Raw genomic sequence first — 17,646 nt, 5'->3', positions numbered from 1 at the left:
TCTTTTTTAATATTTGCATAGTCCCCAAAGAGATTCATCAATTTCATTTATCCAAAGTAACAGGTACAGTTATTTGTATAAGTCAAACATAAATTTGTAAGCAGACTCCCCAACACATTCACACATAAGCTGATTATGTTCTTTAGTTTGCTAATGAATTTTGTCATTCACTCAGTAGATGTCAAGTAGCCATAAAGTTGATATCATGCATGTGGGCTTTGGTTTCTGGAAATAAGGGAGTTAAGCTAGCTACTTTGAAAGGTCTTTTGGCTACAATACGGCTACAATCTGGATAAAACGTATTTTGAAAGACATTGAGGTCAAGGTTAATAACAAATACGGAAAATCTCCAAAGAGTAAAAATTAAGCCCAAAGCACCACCACCACCACAACAAAACGATGAACTTTAATGAGAGAAAGTAGCTGTGAATGGTACATAATTGCCCTGGGAAATAATACCACTAGTGATGCTGCAATTCGAGCCAAGGCCTTGGGAATACCAGTGAAAGAGCTGGACCTAATACCAGTGGATTAAGATTGAAACACTGAGGAGGTTAAAGTAGCTTCAGATTAATAGCAGGTTCTGGGATCCAGCAGGAACAAATAAAATTCTCTTTGGAGGTTAACATCATTGAGTCAGACCCAGTTTTTTACAAACTAACTTCAACCAAGTATAGCTAATATATTTTAATCATAAAAACAGACCTAGCTGGGCGCGGTGGCTCATGCCTGTAATCCCAGCACTTTCCGAGGCCAAGGCTGGCAGATCACGAGGTCAGGAGATAGAGACCATCCTGGCTAACACAGTGAAAACCCATCTCTACTAAAAATACAAAATCAAAAATTAGCCGGTCGTGGTGGCGGGCGCCTGTAGTCCCAGCTACTTCGGAAGCTGAGGCAGGAGAAGGGCCTGAGCCCGGGAGGTGGAGCTTGTAGTGAGCCCAGATCACGCCACTGCTCTCCAGCCTGGGCGGCTGAGCGAGACTCCGTCTCAATAACAAACAAACAAACAAACAAACCTAGAAAACACAATATAACATGAGGTAGAGTAAGCAGAAACTAAAAAGGCAACAACTTTAGGCCTCTCAAAGACTTCAGATAATATAACTATCAGAAAAAATATAAAATAATGTAATATATTCAAGAGAAAAAGAAGAAAGTTTTTTTTTAAGTGAACAATGGAAAATAAACTATTACAATTACAAAACTTATCTGGAAAAGAATAAATGAAATTCTAGAACAACAATTTACAATTTACAATTAATTTGTAGGTAAGAAAGCAGCCAAAGGTTATAAAAGAATTGGAAGACAGATGTGGAGCAAGTACTCACGGCATAGTTTAGAGATAAAAGAAAATGGGAAATATGAAAGAATGTTAAAAGAACTAAGGGATAAACTAGAAGGTCTGCTTTCTACTTGTAATCTCAAGAGGGAATAGAAAAATTCAGTGTGGCTAATGGTTTGCATGCAAAGAAGAAAACTTTATGAAAAGATATTTACAACCTGGGCAACAAAGTTAAGACCCCATATATATAAAAAATAAAAATTAAAAAAATAGCCAAGCATATTGGCATGTGCCTGTAGTTCCAGCTACTCAAGAAGCTGAGGTGGGAGGATAGCTTGAGCACAGGAGTTTGGGGCTGCAGTGAATTATGATCATAACACTGCACTCCAGATTGAGCAGCAGAGCAAGACTCTGTCTCTAGAAGAAGAAAAAAAAAGAGAAAGATTTAAAAGGCTTAAATAAATGGAATGATATACCACATTCATAGACTAAAAGACTCCTTATTGTAAATATCTACCAAGCTGTTGTTTAAAATTTATATCGTGGTATAAATCACAGTAAAATGTTTGAACAATATTTTAGAGGAAATTTTGCATATGTATACCAGGAAAGACATAATGTTCGTAACAGTATTGTTCATAGAATTGAAAAAAACAGAAATGATGCATTGACTAGAATGTGGGTAAAGAAATTTTGCAATAATCACGGTGGTATATTATGAAAGAATGAGAAGAATAAATTGCAACTACATAAAACGACACGGATAAATGTGAGAAATATAATGAGGGAGAAATGCAATTCATAGTGGAAGACATAATTTTGATAATTCATAATGCTCAAAACCAAGAAAGCTAAGCAACATATTGTTTAACACTTAAATATATAGTAGTACTATTTAAAAAACTACAACAAACAAATGATAAGCACAAAATTAAGAGTAGTTTTTGTTCTGGTAGGGAAGTTAGAAATTAAATATGGGAAGAACAGATAATAGGTATTAATATTACTAGTATTTTAATAGTTTATAAGTTTGATAGTGAGGTCATAGTTAATATTTTAATTAACTTTTAAATTTACTTAAATGTTAGATGTATTGCTTAATATCTATCAAATATTATATAAAAAATATATCTTGCAATTTATACATAGCTCTAAGATTGCTTACTCAAACCTTATTTTTATTTTATGCAAAATTTCAAAAATGTATTTATCCGTAGTCCTAGGCCACAAAAATCAGAAGCAGCACATTGAAAGTTAGAAGAAAAAGTTTGGAAGTGGTGGATATAAACTGATATATATATATATACAGAGAATAGGTAATTTAAAAATCTATAAAAATTGGGCTCAAGAACCTTGAAAAATTATTGCCATTAGACATAGAAGTTACTTAATGTAGTAAGAAATAGGATAGCCCATTACCAGGTTTTAGAGCCATTGTGGAGTGTAATAATAGACTTTCCTTTGACAATCATGAGGCAACATACTCTCGAGCCTCTGTTAAGCTGCCAAAGCAGTATCCAGCACAATTCAGAAGAAATCCTAACTCAAGTTGTTCAAATAATTGTTGAGTATTCAGTGTCTGAGGGTGATGCCCCTTTTAGTCTACACAATCCTTTGTTAGAATAATCTTTCCTGCTTCACATTAAGGTCCCCTGCCTGGTTTCTAAAGGCATTTGAATTTTTAAAACCACACATTAGCAACCTTTACAAGGTTTGGTTTCAAGCTGTTGACCCTACTTTGTTGGCAAGAGCAAATAAAAGAAAACTCTCTGGGAAGTAGGATTTTCCAGGTGGATAGAGAGGATCTTACTCCATTTCTGTGTTGCTATAAAGGAATACCTGAGGCTGGGTAATTTATAAAGAAAAGGTATTTATTTGACTCACCATTCTGCAGGCTGTACGAGAAGCAAAGTGCCAGCATCTGCCTCTGATGAGGGCCTATGGCTGGTTCCACTCATGTCAGAAGGAAAAGGAAGCATCCTGGGTAGAGATCAAATAGTGAGAGAGGAAGGAAGAGATGGAGGGGGGATGTTCCAGGCTCTTTTAACCACCAGCTCTCTTGGGAACAAACAGAGTGAGAACTCACTCATTATTTGGAGAATGGCTCTAAGCCATTCAAGAGGAATCCTCTCTCATGACCCAAACACTTCCTGTTAGGCCCCACCTCCAACACTGGGGATCAAATTTTGATATGAGATTTGGAGGGGTCAAACACACCAAACTATAGCATAGGGAGAAAGGAGGGTATCCAAGGGAAAGAAAAAATAGTGTGAGTAAAAGCAAAGTTGTCATTTCTCATTCTTGATCCCTCAAGGTCCAAAGTGCTTATCATTTATTTGAGATACTGTCTGTCTGTTTCTCTTATAGCATCACATGAAACCTAGTACCCAGTCGTCTGGAAAAATGAACAAGTAGCTGAAGTATCTGTGGTATATTTTCCTCCCTTTTGGCACTATTCCTAGTTGCTGATCTTGCATTTTCCCTACCCCATCCTCTGCATCCTAAAACTTACCAAGTTTATTCTACACAAATCATCTGGAGCGGGGGGAGGTGAGGGGGGGCGTGGGGTGGGGGGCAACAAAATCAAATTTTTCCGTCCCTGAATTCCTTCACTATGCCAACTCAAAATTAAGTAATTCAACAATTAATGGTGACCAGTAAAATACATCCCTGTACCTTCCGTGCAATTAAACTCAGCTAGTAGTAAAAGGAGAGTAATTAAATTATTCAACTAAAGTCAACCACTCCGAGGAGGGAATGACCCATTTATCATAGAGCAATTCTCTCAAGGGGTTTCCACAACACTTTTGGTGGAGTATTTGGGAGAGATGTTTTTGAGTGCCCTTTTCGGCAACAATAGACAAAATTATAAAGTGTATCATTTTTAAAAATCTATTAATCTTGTATCACTTTTATATATGCTATAAATTATGTAAGAGTTATAAACAGTAGTTATAAGATGGCATATAATACACAATGTGCACACAAATTTAATATTTTCATGGAATAAAAATGTCTTAATGATTATGAGTCAGTAGATTATAGTCTCAGTTCATGTTTTGCCATTAGGTAGATGAGTGACCTCAGTTAATGAACTTGCTTGGCCTGGACTTCCTATTTGCTGCTCTTGTTTTCCATCAGAAACGCAGCACAATATTGTTTAAGGGGTAGACAAATACCAGAATTTGACTCTCTCTTCTACCAATAAGTTTATTTAATTAATGGTGAAGTCTCAGTTTCATCATTCCTACAATAGAAGTAATGTTAATAGTATCAAACTTAAATGATTCTTGAGATGGCTGAACTGACACCTGCAAAACGCTTAACATGATATCTACTTACGACATGGTAAGCACTCAAGAGAATTGTTTCTTTTTTAACTGAGAAGACATAAATAAATATGTACAATGAAAGACTTGTATATTTTTTAATCTCTGATTTTTTTTGTTTATTCTGTAATTATAATCTTGATTTTCCCTATTTTTCAAAATAGTTACATCTAATCGAAGTCACTCATATAAAATAGTTAATTGGATAAATGTCTTATGCAGCTGAAAACATGACACCAAAGTTAGTAAGATTTTAATTCTCATATTTTAAAATAAATATGTCTCTAGTACAAATCCCTTCAGATCTAGGCTGGTTTATTTTGAGCTAACTTACATCTCTAATGACTAGGATAAAATGCCTGTTATAAGATGGGAAGTATGAGTCTTCTTCCTAAAAATGCTTGAGTGATTAGAGCATAGAACTATGATACATAAGTGACAGCTTTAACATTTATTCAGTGGATGTTGCCTACTTGGGTCTTGAAAGAGTTTCTAGAATTTTGATGCTATGAAGAAACAATTGAAGTAATTTTACATAATTGATAATTTAACAAACATCCTTTTAGACCATAGGGGCTGCTTTATGTGGAAATGCTTAGCTTTCTTTTATATTTTCTAAGAGTTTTGTATAAATGTTACTTTGTTACAAGCGTGTATTTGGTTACTAAGAGAAATGATAACGCTCCTTATTTGCCCTGGGAAAAGGAACTGAGCCAAAAGTGTACTTCTGAAAAGGAAAGTTTTCTGCCAGCCATTAGAAATGTTCTACAAAGATTCCAAAGTTTCTGTAGTGACAGGATGATGTTCAGCAGGAACATTCTCTTGTTTGGGTTTGGAGAATGTAGTCAGGGATAATTCAGAGCAACTAAAATTATAGATGGATAAGAACCTTGGAAGGTGAAAACATATCTCATTCATTATATAAACAAAAGTGAAGGGTGTTGAGGTAAATGGGCTAGAATTTGTTGCAACCAAAATCTTCATAACTTTGCTAAAAAATCCAGTTCCTTCATGCAAATGTGTCTATCTACAGCTCCCCCTGCTCCTTTGGACTCTTTAACATTGACAAAATTTACATCCATACAATGGAATCAAAATAGGGTTCTGCACATTCTCTGAACACTGCTCAACATAATCCCATTTGGTTTGTGGATAGTCCATAAAGAAGTCAATATGTTTCTGTAATTTATAGAGATGTCAGCTCCACGAACTTTGTTGGAGCCTTGAGAGACAAGCTACATCTTTTTACTCTTTTAAAAGATGCATTGACCTCATGCAGGGAACACTTAAAGGAGTTTTTGTGTGTGATCAATACATTTCTATATTTATAAGCCTAATCAGAGCCTATCTGCTTTTCTGCTCAAGTACTGCTCAAAGAGAGAGTCACATAATCAAAATTACAAACTTTATTGCATTGATTTTTTTGTTCTACTTGTTACTCAGACCACAAAAATAATTAAATATTTTCTTTGTAATAACTACAGCCTGACACAAAATCATTTCTTTTGGAAATATTCCCCTAATGTCAAGACTATGGCATCTTTTACTCCCAGTCCTGCCATTTCTCATTCTAATTATTAGACTTTAACAGGTCCAAGACTTGTTTTAAATGCTCTAGTCTCAAAATTTAACAGCTGTCCCCCAGGCCATATATAGAAAGCCAGTCAGCTGCCTTGAACTGACCTCAGTGGCACAGTCACACAGAGCCAGATCTCCACTGTAGAGACTCCAGCCTCACATTATAAATACTGCAGTGTCATCTATAAATATGTGCATTTCACCACATTTCAGCTGCTTTTGTTTTGCTGAGGCAAGTGCCTGCTACCTTTATTCATGTAGCAGCAAGCAGCTTTCAGACTTAAACCATATTTATTTCATTTAAAGGTGGGGATAACAGAGCTAGTGAATGTTTAACTGACTCCATCAAAGTGTGGGAAGAGGGTTCAAGAAATTAAAATAAAGAGAACCAGCTTGGAGGAAATATATATAAAATAAAGAGAAATTGCATCTCACAATGAAGGCAGGCTGTATTTTAATTTGCTAATGTGGGAAGAAAATACACCTTTCTGCATTATATGGCTAACCATTTCACTTCCCACTGACTCATGCACATTTATTACATGGTTTGTAGAGGAGTACATGGGTGTATAAGCAGCTCATTTCTGCCTGCCACATCCAAGCCACTGTGTCTGCTGCCAGGTATTTTCTTCATTGTAGCAGCTTTTCCATTTAGGGGAATGAACAGGAGCTGAAGGCACTTAAATGCTTAGCATTTTCACTTTGCATTTGAATATACTCAGATTAATTTAGGCCATATTGTCTCAACAATAAACGTGCCCTTTTTGAGTTTTAGGCTTTCTCAGTTATGGGATTTCTGAATCACAGCCTGCAGTTTTAGCTAGCTCTCTTCAACTCTCCAAAGGCTAAAATCAGTCACCATTCCTTTACTCATGATCGAATCACCAGTCTGTAGAAAATCAACAGTAGATGTTGAAAATCATTATATCAGTTCTTATTTTTAATAGAAAAAATGAGTCATAAATGCATTATAACTTTACTTAAGCATCTTTGTCATTTTAGTGGAGACATATAAAACAGTAGTTTTTTCTACCTCAAAATTTGCAAAGATTTTCTGTGTATCTTTCCAAGTCAGCATTGACTGTATCTTATATTACACCAACATGTAAAATGCACATAAAATGTACTTGCTATTGTAAGTAAACTTATGAAGGGTGACCAAACTTATAAGCTAAAAACTAACTGTAAGGTTTCCAGATGTCAAAAAGTATCTTATTTGTTTTTCCTTAAAGATGTTTGTGGTTTGTGCTAAAATGTTCCAAAAATTCAGTCTTTGAGGACCAAGAAGAGTAAAACAAAATTAATTCAGGTAAGAGCACACTACAACAGTGAGTTTCCAGGAAATTTAGCTGAAACTGTGATCATAAAGACATGCCTAAATATAGCTAGCATAGACTTTGAAGGTTAATATAAAAACATTATTTTCTAAAAATAAGGAAAATATAATTTCAAAAAACTCTTTTTGTACAAAGCATTGCATTCAAACTATGGCATTGTTCGGACATGCATTTTAACAAAGAATGTGGTAACCTCTGAGATAACCAAAAGTCTGAATGGTCACTTAGGCCAAAATACATATTTATAATTTTTACTACTTTATCTTTAGTATCTACAACACTTGATAGGATTATATTAAGACAACTCCAGTATCTCCTAAGACAGTTCATTTCATACTGAGTTAGCTTTCACTGTGCAATATAATAACAATCTGGAATTTATCTTGGTAGTACAGTTATTGGTCTTAGGTGCCCATAGATTCTTTGTAGTCAAGTTTACCCCCCGTCATGTGAACAGACATAATATTTGCCCCAGCTTTGCATGTCCCTTAGGTTTTAAGAGAATTTTTTGCACTCAGAGAAATAGATCTGGGATTGGTATATAGAGTAGCAGAAGTTTAAGTTCTATGAATTAATGAGTTCTCAAAGATAGAGAATTGAATGAGAATGAAAAATATCATATTGTCACACTGTAGAATGTTATGTGGGGTATAACTAAATATCTTAGCATCATTTAACCATCCTGCATATAATACATTTTTACCTTAAGAATCCCAGGCCAGGCGCGGTGGCTCATGCCTGTAATCCCAGCACTTTGGGAGGCCCAGGCAGGTGGATCACTTGAGGTCATGGGCTCAAGACCAGCCTGGCCAACATGGCGAAACCCCATCTCTATCAAAAATACAAAAATTAGCCAGGCATGGTGGTGCAGGCCTGTAGTCCCAGCTACCTGGAAGGCTGAGGCAGGAGACTTACTTGAACTCTGGGGGCAGAGGTTGCAGTGAGCCGAAATCACGCCACTGAACTCCAGCCTGGGTGACAGAGCCAGAATCCATCTCAAAAAAAAAAAAAAAAAAAAAAAAAAAAAATCCCAAATATCTTTACTAGGCAAATTGTTTACATGCTTTTTCAACTTTTAGTGCCATTATAACTTGGTGTGTCTACTGCTGAAATGTATAGATATATCCAGAAATAAAGCATGTCCCATGTCCACAGCTCTCTTTCAATTCCAGTATGTAATTAATGGTTATATTTCACTTAATCGTATCACTTTTTTTTATTTGGCCTCTCCTATATTAGAAGGTGCTACTTTAAGCTGCTATAACATGAGAACAAGAACTAGAGCAGCTGACATACAATCAAAGTACATTAAGTCCTCACTAAACATCAATACGTTCTTGGAAGCTGTGACTGTAAGCAAAACCATATATAACAAAACCAATTTTACCATAAGCTAGTTGATACAAACAAGGGTCAAATTCCAATGGCATATTTCTGGACACAATGCATCATTGAACTTCTAAGAAAAAAAAAAAGACCAAAACACTTCTAATCTTAAACATTAAAATAAATATGAGCTATTCATATTTTTGAGAAAGAGTAATAAGTAAGATAATTATTTACCCAATTATTCCAGTTAAGGGTCATGGGTGACTAGATCCTATCCTAGAAGCTCAGGTGCAAGGTGGGGACCTTGACCATCTGGGACAGGATGCTATACCTTCACAGGGTGCACTCACATACCCACACACATTCAGTCACACTGCGACAATTGAGACACACCAATTCACCCTAATGTGCACATCTTTGGAGTGTGGAAGAAAACCAGAGTACCTAGAGAAAACCCACACAGACATGGGGAGAATGAGCAAACTCCACAGAGAGAGTTGGCCCAGGCAGGATTCTTTTTATTTGTTTTCTTACCAACATAATGACGAAGGAACTTTGAATGAAACGATGTTATTGGAAGACCTGCAGTGGCTCTCTGTTTTACATTAACCATCTGGCCAGTCCAGGCTGAAAGGACAGCTCTGCTTCATGTCATTCAGGGACCTAGGTTTCATCTACCTTGTCACTCTGTCATAACTTATAGTACATTGTCCTCAACCACGAGTTTTAATGTGGCTCACCAACACCACATCTACATGCCAAGCACAGGATGGGTGAAGAAAAAATGAAGTTAGATTGCAAGCTACATGACTTTAATTGGCATGGCTCAGAAATTGGACACATTAGTTTTATTCACATACATTGGTCAGTAGTTCATACCATGTGCACATCTAACTGTGAAGTCGGCTAGGAAAGTAGTTTTTCTCCAGTATGTTTATGTAGTCAGTTAAAGCTGACGGTATGGGTGGGGAAGCAAAAGGAGCTATGGAGCTATATTATATGAATTAAAAAGAGAATAACTATTCATGAGGAAGAGTTAGGAAATGCTTCCATATTTCCCTTGGAATATTTAGATTAATTCCAACTTATTTTACTGTTAATATTCATCCTAAAACCAAATATTATGTTATTTTTATTAAAGCACTGATTATATGCAAACCAAAATAGAAAAATTGAGGCAATTATAAGTAAAGAAAACTTTTGTTTTGAACAAAGAAAAATTTTCATCCTGAAATAAAATTCTTATATTTAAATGTTTGTGTACTTTAATAATTTCTTAATTATTTCCTTAAAACAAAAATCTCAGAAGTGTAATTGCTATGTCAAAGAGAATATAATCTTAAGGCTTTTGATATATATTACTAAAATATCCTCCAAAACTCTGTACTAATTTATACTCCAATAGAAAATGCACTAGGATGTGTTTCTTTCAATCTTTTTGTAAAGAGCTTTATTGAGGAGTAATTTATATACCATAAAAGTCACACATTGACGTTTATATTTCAATGACTTTTAGTAGATTTACACAGTTGTGTAAGCATCATTGTAACATTAAAACATTTCCATCACCCTATAAAATTGCCTCTTGTCCGTTTGCAGTCAGTCCCTACTCTCATTTCTTAGGCCTAGGCAAGCATTGCTCTCTGTCTCTTAGAGATTTGTCCCTTTCAGAAATTTTATATAAATGAAATCATCCAATACATAGTCTTTTGTGTCTGGTTTCTTTCACTATTTTATAATGCTTTTGAGGTATATTCATATCCGTAGTCTGTTCATTATTATGTCTAAATTACACTCCATCGTATAAATACGATGCATTTTGTTTACCATTTCAGCAGTCGATGGATATTTGGATTGTTACCCAGTTTTTTGCAATTATAAATAATACCACTATAAAAATGTTTAAGTCTTTGCATGGACATAGATTTTTAATGTTTCCCTAAATGTTGCTAGAACCTTCTTAATACATCAATTTTAAATGTGAGAATACACATGTGTATATATATGTATACATGCATTCACTTGTTATATGAAAAAAAAAACAATTTCAATAATGCTAAGAGTAGCAAAGTTTTTCCAGAAAAGGTATTAATTTAAAGTGACAGCTCACATTCCAAAGCCATTTCTATCCCATAAATTTTTCCTGATTATATTCTGCTAGGAAGACAGATGCTCTATTTTTTGGATTAAGATATATTCTTTCCTAAATTTTTGGCACACACTACATTATTCAACAACATATTGGAAAATATTGCGTTCTGATTTGAATGTGCTAAATGCATTTTCTTTTTATATTAGAAATTCATATATCTACTCAACAAATGTTTATTGACAACCTGCAATAATGTACCAAGCACTGTTTTTGAAACTAAGGGAAAAAAGTAGAATGGAATATTGCCTTTGCCTTTGCCTTTGTGGAGCTTTGCAAACTACAGAGGCAAACCCAGTGTAATGTTGTATGAGTAGGTACTACGTAATCTACAGAACAACAAATTCAACTGGCTGCCAGAAGAAGGAATATCCAAGCTAAAACCTGAAGGATAGGATGAGTTATCTAAGAAAAAAAGATGAGAAAAATCAGTCAAACAAGAGACAGTAACATATGCAAAGGGCTTATGTCAATAGAACCTGGTCTCTTTGGGAAACTATAGATAATTTTTATGGCCTAAGCAAAGCTTCTGAAAGGAAAAACCAGAAAGATGTGGAAAAGCAAGAAGGGACAAAATTACAAAATGATTCATAGCCACATTAAAGACTCGCAAGTCAAAACTACTTATGCTAAAGTTTCCTTTGTAATTTCTATTCATATTATCAGGCTCGGTTAAAACAATTCCCCTAAGGAAACAATTTCTGGGTCTTTAAACCATGAGGGCACAAGATATATGATTTCATTGCTTCAACAGCACCCTAAAATCCTCAGTTAGGATCTAAAAGAGAGAGAAATACTAGATCTGTCTACTCTAGTAGAATATAAGCTCTTTAAGACAGAATATTGAAAGTGTTTCATTTACCATTCACTATTTCATCACACTATAACTTTCATATAAAATGTTCCCAATAAATACATGCTAAGTAAAAGAAGAAAGGAATTTGTTCTTTATTATATAGATATTGAATAGGCCCAGATGAGTTTTAAGCATATTTGTAACTTGATGAGGTCACTGTATTGTGGAGAATAGCCTAAAGAAAGAAGGCAACCTGGACATAACAGAAGAAGATAATATTATGGACTACTTACTCAGAGCTGGACCATGTCCTAAGCACATCATGTATTTTATACCTCTTAATTGTCATAACTTTGTGAAGTAGATCTTATCAGTATTTTATGTAAATCAGAAACTGAGGCTCAGATTAGATAAGAAATTGCCCAAGATCACACAAATTGTGTATGTGGTAGAAACAGGATTCAAAAACTGAATTTTTCATCCTAAATATTATATTCCTGATTACTATGCTCTACTGCCTGTAATAAGTCAGGTAAATAGTAAAGTTGACCTGAATTAAAACAGTTTTCCTTTAGGAGTAGGAGAGGAATAGATAGAAGAAAGTTCCAGACAAAGAGAAAATCAGCTGAAAAAAAAATTATATATATATATTGCTGCACTAGTAGAGAGGAGCATGGTAGACTCAAGATTCAGAAAACTAAACTGGGTACCTTGGGAGCCCACAAAGTGTCACAAGGACTATAGTAAGATCAGGATGGCAAGATAAAGAAAAGCCAGAATGTGTGGTCTCCTTCTACAAGCCATGATCAGGAGCTTGGCCCTCATCTGAAAAGCATTGGGAACCTATTGAAGGGTTTTAGTAAGACTGTATAACAATCAAATGTGTAGTTGAACAAGAACATTATGAATTCAGTTGGACACTAACAATGAAAGTTGAAGAATGAATTTGCGGAGACTGGGGAAAATTGTCACAACTGGAGATATGCAGATTTATTAGGAAGTTATTCCAATTACCAAAGAAAATATTGTTGACCTTCTGCACAACAATGACAGTGATGTAGGTCAAAAGAAGAGAATATATCTGGAATTTGTTAGAAGAAATATTTAGCTGCTAAAGGTCATGAAGTTATGGCTCTGAAGAGCAAAAAAGAAATACACTTGGATAACAGATAATGCCTATCTCAAAGTAAAGAACCATTTCTGTTTTTTTCTTAAAGAAAAGAGGAGAAGCTTTGATACAGATACAAGTAAATAAGGATATTGTGGCAGAAAATTTAAATTTGTGGATTTTATTTAGTCCATGAAAGAGAGGGTTAGGTCATCTGCTGATAAGAAAGGGCAGATAAAGTTCATCACAAATCAGAAAGGTCAAGAACAGAGGGAGAATTTTCTCACAACATATTGTTTAATATATACCTAACCAATTTTATGGCAATGAGGTAAGAAAAAAACAAACTATCCTAAAGAGTAAGCCATTCAATATGCCATTCCTAGAGGAAGATTCAGTATCACAACTCTATCAATGCTTCTACTAAATTTAAATTAATAAAACCACAATAAAAATACCAACAGGACTTTGAATTAAGATCCAGATAAAAAAGATCCAAAGTCATGTGGGAAAATAAAGATCCAAAACCAGGAGAAAATATTTTATTAGATTACAAAACATATTATAAAATAGTATGAAATAAATCAATAACAGAGAAATATAAATAGAACAAAGAGTATAGACGGTCTTAAATATGTATAAATACATATATTAATATATGTGTGTAAATTTATTACATGATAAAGTAATTCTGAAAATAAATAGTGAAAATTGATTTTCAATCAATGATTTTAAAATAGTTGTGTGATCAATCGTCATTTCGGAAAAAAATATATTGGACCACTATATTACCTACACTGAAAAAAATTCAAAATGGATGACAAATATAAACGTATACCAAAATTATATTGGACTAAAAACAAAAAAAATTATTAGAAAATGTATGATTTTCTAAGTATGAAAAAAAAACCCAAACCATAAAAGCCTAACATATTAGACCACATTAAATTTAAAAATGTCTGAATGGCTAAATCAAACCATAAACTATGTCCAAAGAAAAACAGAAAAAACTAAGAAAAAATATTGTCACATCATTACAGATAAAGGCTCATTTCCTTAATACACAAAAAGCTCTATCAATATAATAGCTCAAAAAATGTGCACTGTAGAAAAATAAACAACATTGAACACAGTTACACTTAAAAAGAAAATACAAATAGTTCTTAAATATATGAAAAGGTGCTTAATCTCACCCATGCAAATCAGAAAAGAAATGCTACAAAAGGTATAATTATACTACATTTTTATCTATTAGATGGTGTAGGATATTTGTAGGAAAAAGAGAATTGTAATCTATTATTGGTGGAAATATAATTCAGTACAACTTCAATAGAAATTTGGCAATGTCAATATATTAAGTGTACACCTTCTACCCCTAGGTTTAATCCTAAAAGTATATTGTTGTGTGCAAATACATATACATGTGCACTTTTACAAACATATAATATGTTCATTGTGGAATTTTTGTGATAGTAAATCATTGGAAAGAAGCCAATTGACCATCATCAGATTACTGGCTAAATAAATGATGGCATATTTTCAAAGTAAAATACTAAAAGGCTACCTTAAAAAAGAGAGAGAGCTGGGCACAGCGGCTCATGACTGTAATCTTGTTGCCTTGGGAGGCTGAAGTGAGAGGATCACTTGAGACCAGGAGTGTGACACCTCAGTGAGCTATGATTGTGCCACTACACTCTAGCCTGGGCAACACAGCACAACCCCTTGTCTCTAAAATAAATAAAGACAGATACAGAAAAAGCTCCAAGTAGTTTTTAAGTGAAATTTTATTTTGTGTGTATTGTATTTCCACTTGTGTAAAGATTTTTTTAATCTATCATTTGTCTGTACATCCATTTATTTATCATAATCTTTGTAAATGAATGGACAATTTCTGGAAGAGAACACAAGAAACTTAAAGATGTTTACTTCCAGAGGAGAAAATGAATGCTTAGAAGATACAGGTGGAAGCTAGAGTTTCTTTTCCTCATAAACTTAATTCTATTTTTAAAGAACATTTTGCCAACATTCAAATTGGATTTTCCTCTCTAGATGATTTTTAAAATTAAGTAAATCCCAACTCAAATACATGAAACGTTAAAATATTTGGCAGAGAAACTTTTGCACTTGGCATGATATTTGGCTTCCAATGAGGCATTATAAGTTAAGGTATTGAGCACAGACTTTTGAATATTGTTATTTTGGTCAAGATCCCTGCAGAAAACAGATGGTGCAATAAAGTTAGTAAAATTTAAGACGTATCTAATAAAGACACTTTTTTCAAAAGTGTTGGCAAGGTGTTGGGAAACCATGGGGGACAGTGCAATATTCTATAGCTAGATATAGCGGGGCTAAGACACCTCCCTTAGGTTTATAAAGACAAGAGGAGAAAGTGTTATCAGGAAATGGAAATAAGAGGACTGTCACAGAAGCTGAAGCCATGTAACAAGAAGCCAAACTACAGCAACCCTGCAGGAAGAGAGCTGGGAGAATAATACTTTGATGTTCTCCCTCCTCCTGAACGCTTGCTGGTACCCCCCACTGACTAACAGAGGACAAAGGAATTCACTAACAGAGGACAAAGTCAGTCTCTCATGGCACCAAGAAAGATGGAGGGAGATAGAGAGCAGATCTGTAGGCCTTAATGGATAATAATCTGCACAAAAGTAAAACCGGTTTTAATTCTAAGCCCTACAGGTCATCCATTTTGTGAGATTTAGTTAGTCAATTTTCTAACACTTAGATATTGTATGTGCCATCACTTAGGGTCCAATCAAGAGACAGAAACTTCATCAGTAATATGAACAAAGGAATTTTATATTTAAAAAATTTTTATATATAAAGAATTGTAAGCTAGTTAAAATGCAGGTAACTACTAAACTACTAAACCAAGTGAGGGTTTAGTATAGTAGTAGCAAAAGCAAAGCTACTACATCAAAAGTTGATGGAGAGTAAGCAATGAAGAAAGTAAAATGTTAACAAGAGCCTCTATCCCCAAAACTGAGATTCGAACATCTTTTGAGAGGGTGTGGCTGTCACAAGAATAAGCAGCCTCCGACTGCAAAGAAACTATCCAGAAGGTATGAGCAAGAGATGGTTCATGAGAGAAGATATCTGCTGACTCTGCACCAAAGAAGCCACACACTGAAGCAGTACCCTCTATTGACAGAGCCTAACATTGAGCCAGCTGAAAAAAGAAATCTACTGGGGCCAGCAACAGTATCAAAAGTATGACAGATAAGGTGGATTTAAACTTGAGAGGCAATAAATTGGTAACTGGCATTTGTAAAATGGGCATAACAAAAATAATTTTAATTGTTGTCATTTAATAAACAATTACTAAGAAGCAGACACTTTCCTAAGAGTTTCATAATCATTATTGCACTATTTCTCACTAAAACCATATAATGTATTTACTATTATTATACACATTTTATAGATGAAGAAAATAAGGAATTTTTTTTGAGGCAGCGTCTTGCTCTGTTGCCCAGGCTGGAATGCAGTGGCACAATCGCGCTCACTGCAACCTCCACCTCCTGGGTTCAAGTGATTCTCCTGACACAACCATCTGAGTAGCTGGGATTACAGGCGCCCTCTACCACGCTCAGCTAATTGTATTTTTAGTAGAAACGGGGTTTCGCCATGTTGGCCAGGCTGGTCTTGAACTCCTGACCTGAGGTGATCTGCCTGCCTCTGCCTCCCAAAGTAATAAGAATACAGGCATGAGCCACCATGCCCAGCTGAGAATAAGAAAAAAAATATTAATACCACAGTTATATTGCTTTGCAAAAGTTCAGATATTATATCTAAATTGCATAGAAACCCGGCTAGTATATACATTATGATCAATAAATGGGAAGGTAGTAGGAGGGACAAGAAAGAGAGGGAGAGATTACACTATTCAATTTCGTATTTGTATGATGCACTTTAAACGTTTTTAAAAATGTATTTGTAAATTTGCATTAATTATATCTGTCCAAAAGAGACAAAACAAGACTAATTCTTTATATAGGACCCACAGGTTATTAGAGACCAAGGTGATTTGATACAATAGAGACCAAAAGGCAATGAAACAGTATATTTAAAGAACTAAATAAACAAATTAAAAAGTCAAACTCCATAGTCAATAAACTGTCTTTCAAAATTGAAGCTAATACCTCACTGTACATATAGCAAAATTTGATAACACCAAAGAGGGAGACCAATCCACAATCACACTGGAAATTTCAAAAACAGACAGAATATAGAGATATTTATTATTTGAACCACAAAATTAATCACCTTGGCCTAACTGACTTTCATCAAATGCAGCATCCAACAACTACAGAATACATATTCTTCTCAAGTGTGCATGAAATGTTCACCAAGTTATACCACATGCTAGGCCATAAAAATAAACGTTAATACATTTTAAATGACTGAAATATTACTATCATTAGACCAAAACATAATTCAATGAGAAACCAATAATAAAAAGTTATTAGAAATATCCCAAATATTTAGAATTTGAATAGTACTTCTTTAAAAAGCTCATGACTCAAACAAAAATTTAATGGCAAATTAGAAAATATTTCAAACTGAATAATTATAAAAATACAGGTATCACATGATAGAGAATGCAGCTAAAACAGTGCTTAGAAGCTTAGAATAAAAAATATTTTAAAAAAGCCTAAGTTTTCTCTGAATAAGCAAGGAAAATAGAACAAATTAATCTCAAAGTAAATATAAAGTAATAATT

At 34.4% G+C, this 17,646-nt stretch overlaps 1 long non-coding RNA gene across 1 annotated transcript in view; it reads right to left on the bottom strand.

Annotated features, from left to right (window-relative positions):
* The window catches only part of LINC00992 (long intergenic non-protein coding RNA 992), a 164,233-nt gene that overhangs the window by 138,956 nt on the left and 7,631 nt on the right, over window positions 1-17,646 (bottom strand). The window contains exon 2 of the long non-coding RNA NR_046089.1: window positions 3,170-3,265. This is a non-coding gene — a long non-coding RNA (long intergenic non-protein coding RNA 992). The remainder of the gene's footprint in view (window positions 1-3,169; window positions 3,266-17,646) is intronic.

This window comes from Homo sapiens, chromosome 5, assembly GCF_000001405.40.
Source record: "Homo sapiens chromosome 5, GRCh38.p14 Primary Assembly".
NCBI classification, from domain to species: domain Eukaryota; kingdom Metazoa; phylum Chordata; class Mammalia; order Primates; family Hominidae; genus Homo; species Homo sapiens.
Note: the sequence above shows the minus strand (reverse complement) of the source record. Positions and strands in the feature narration are given on the sequence as shown.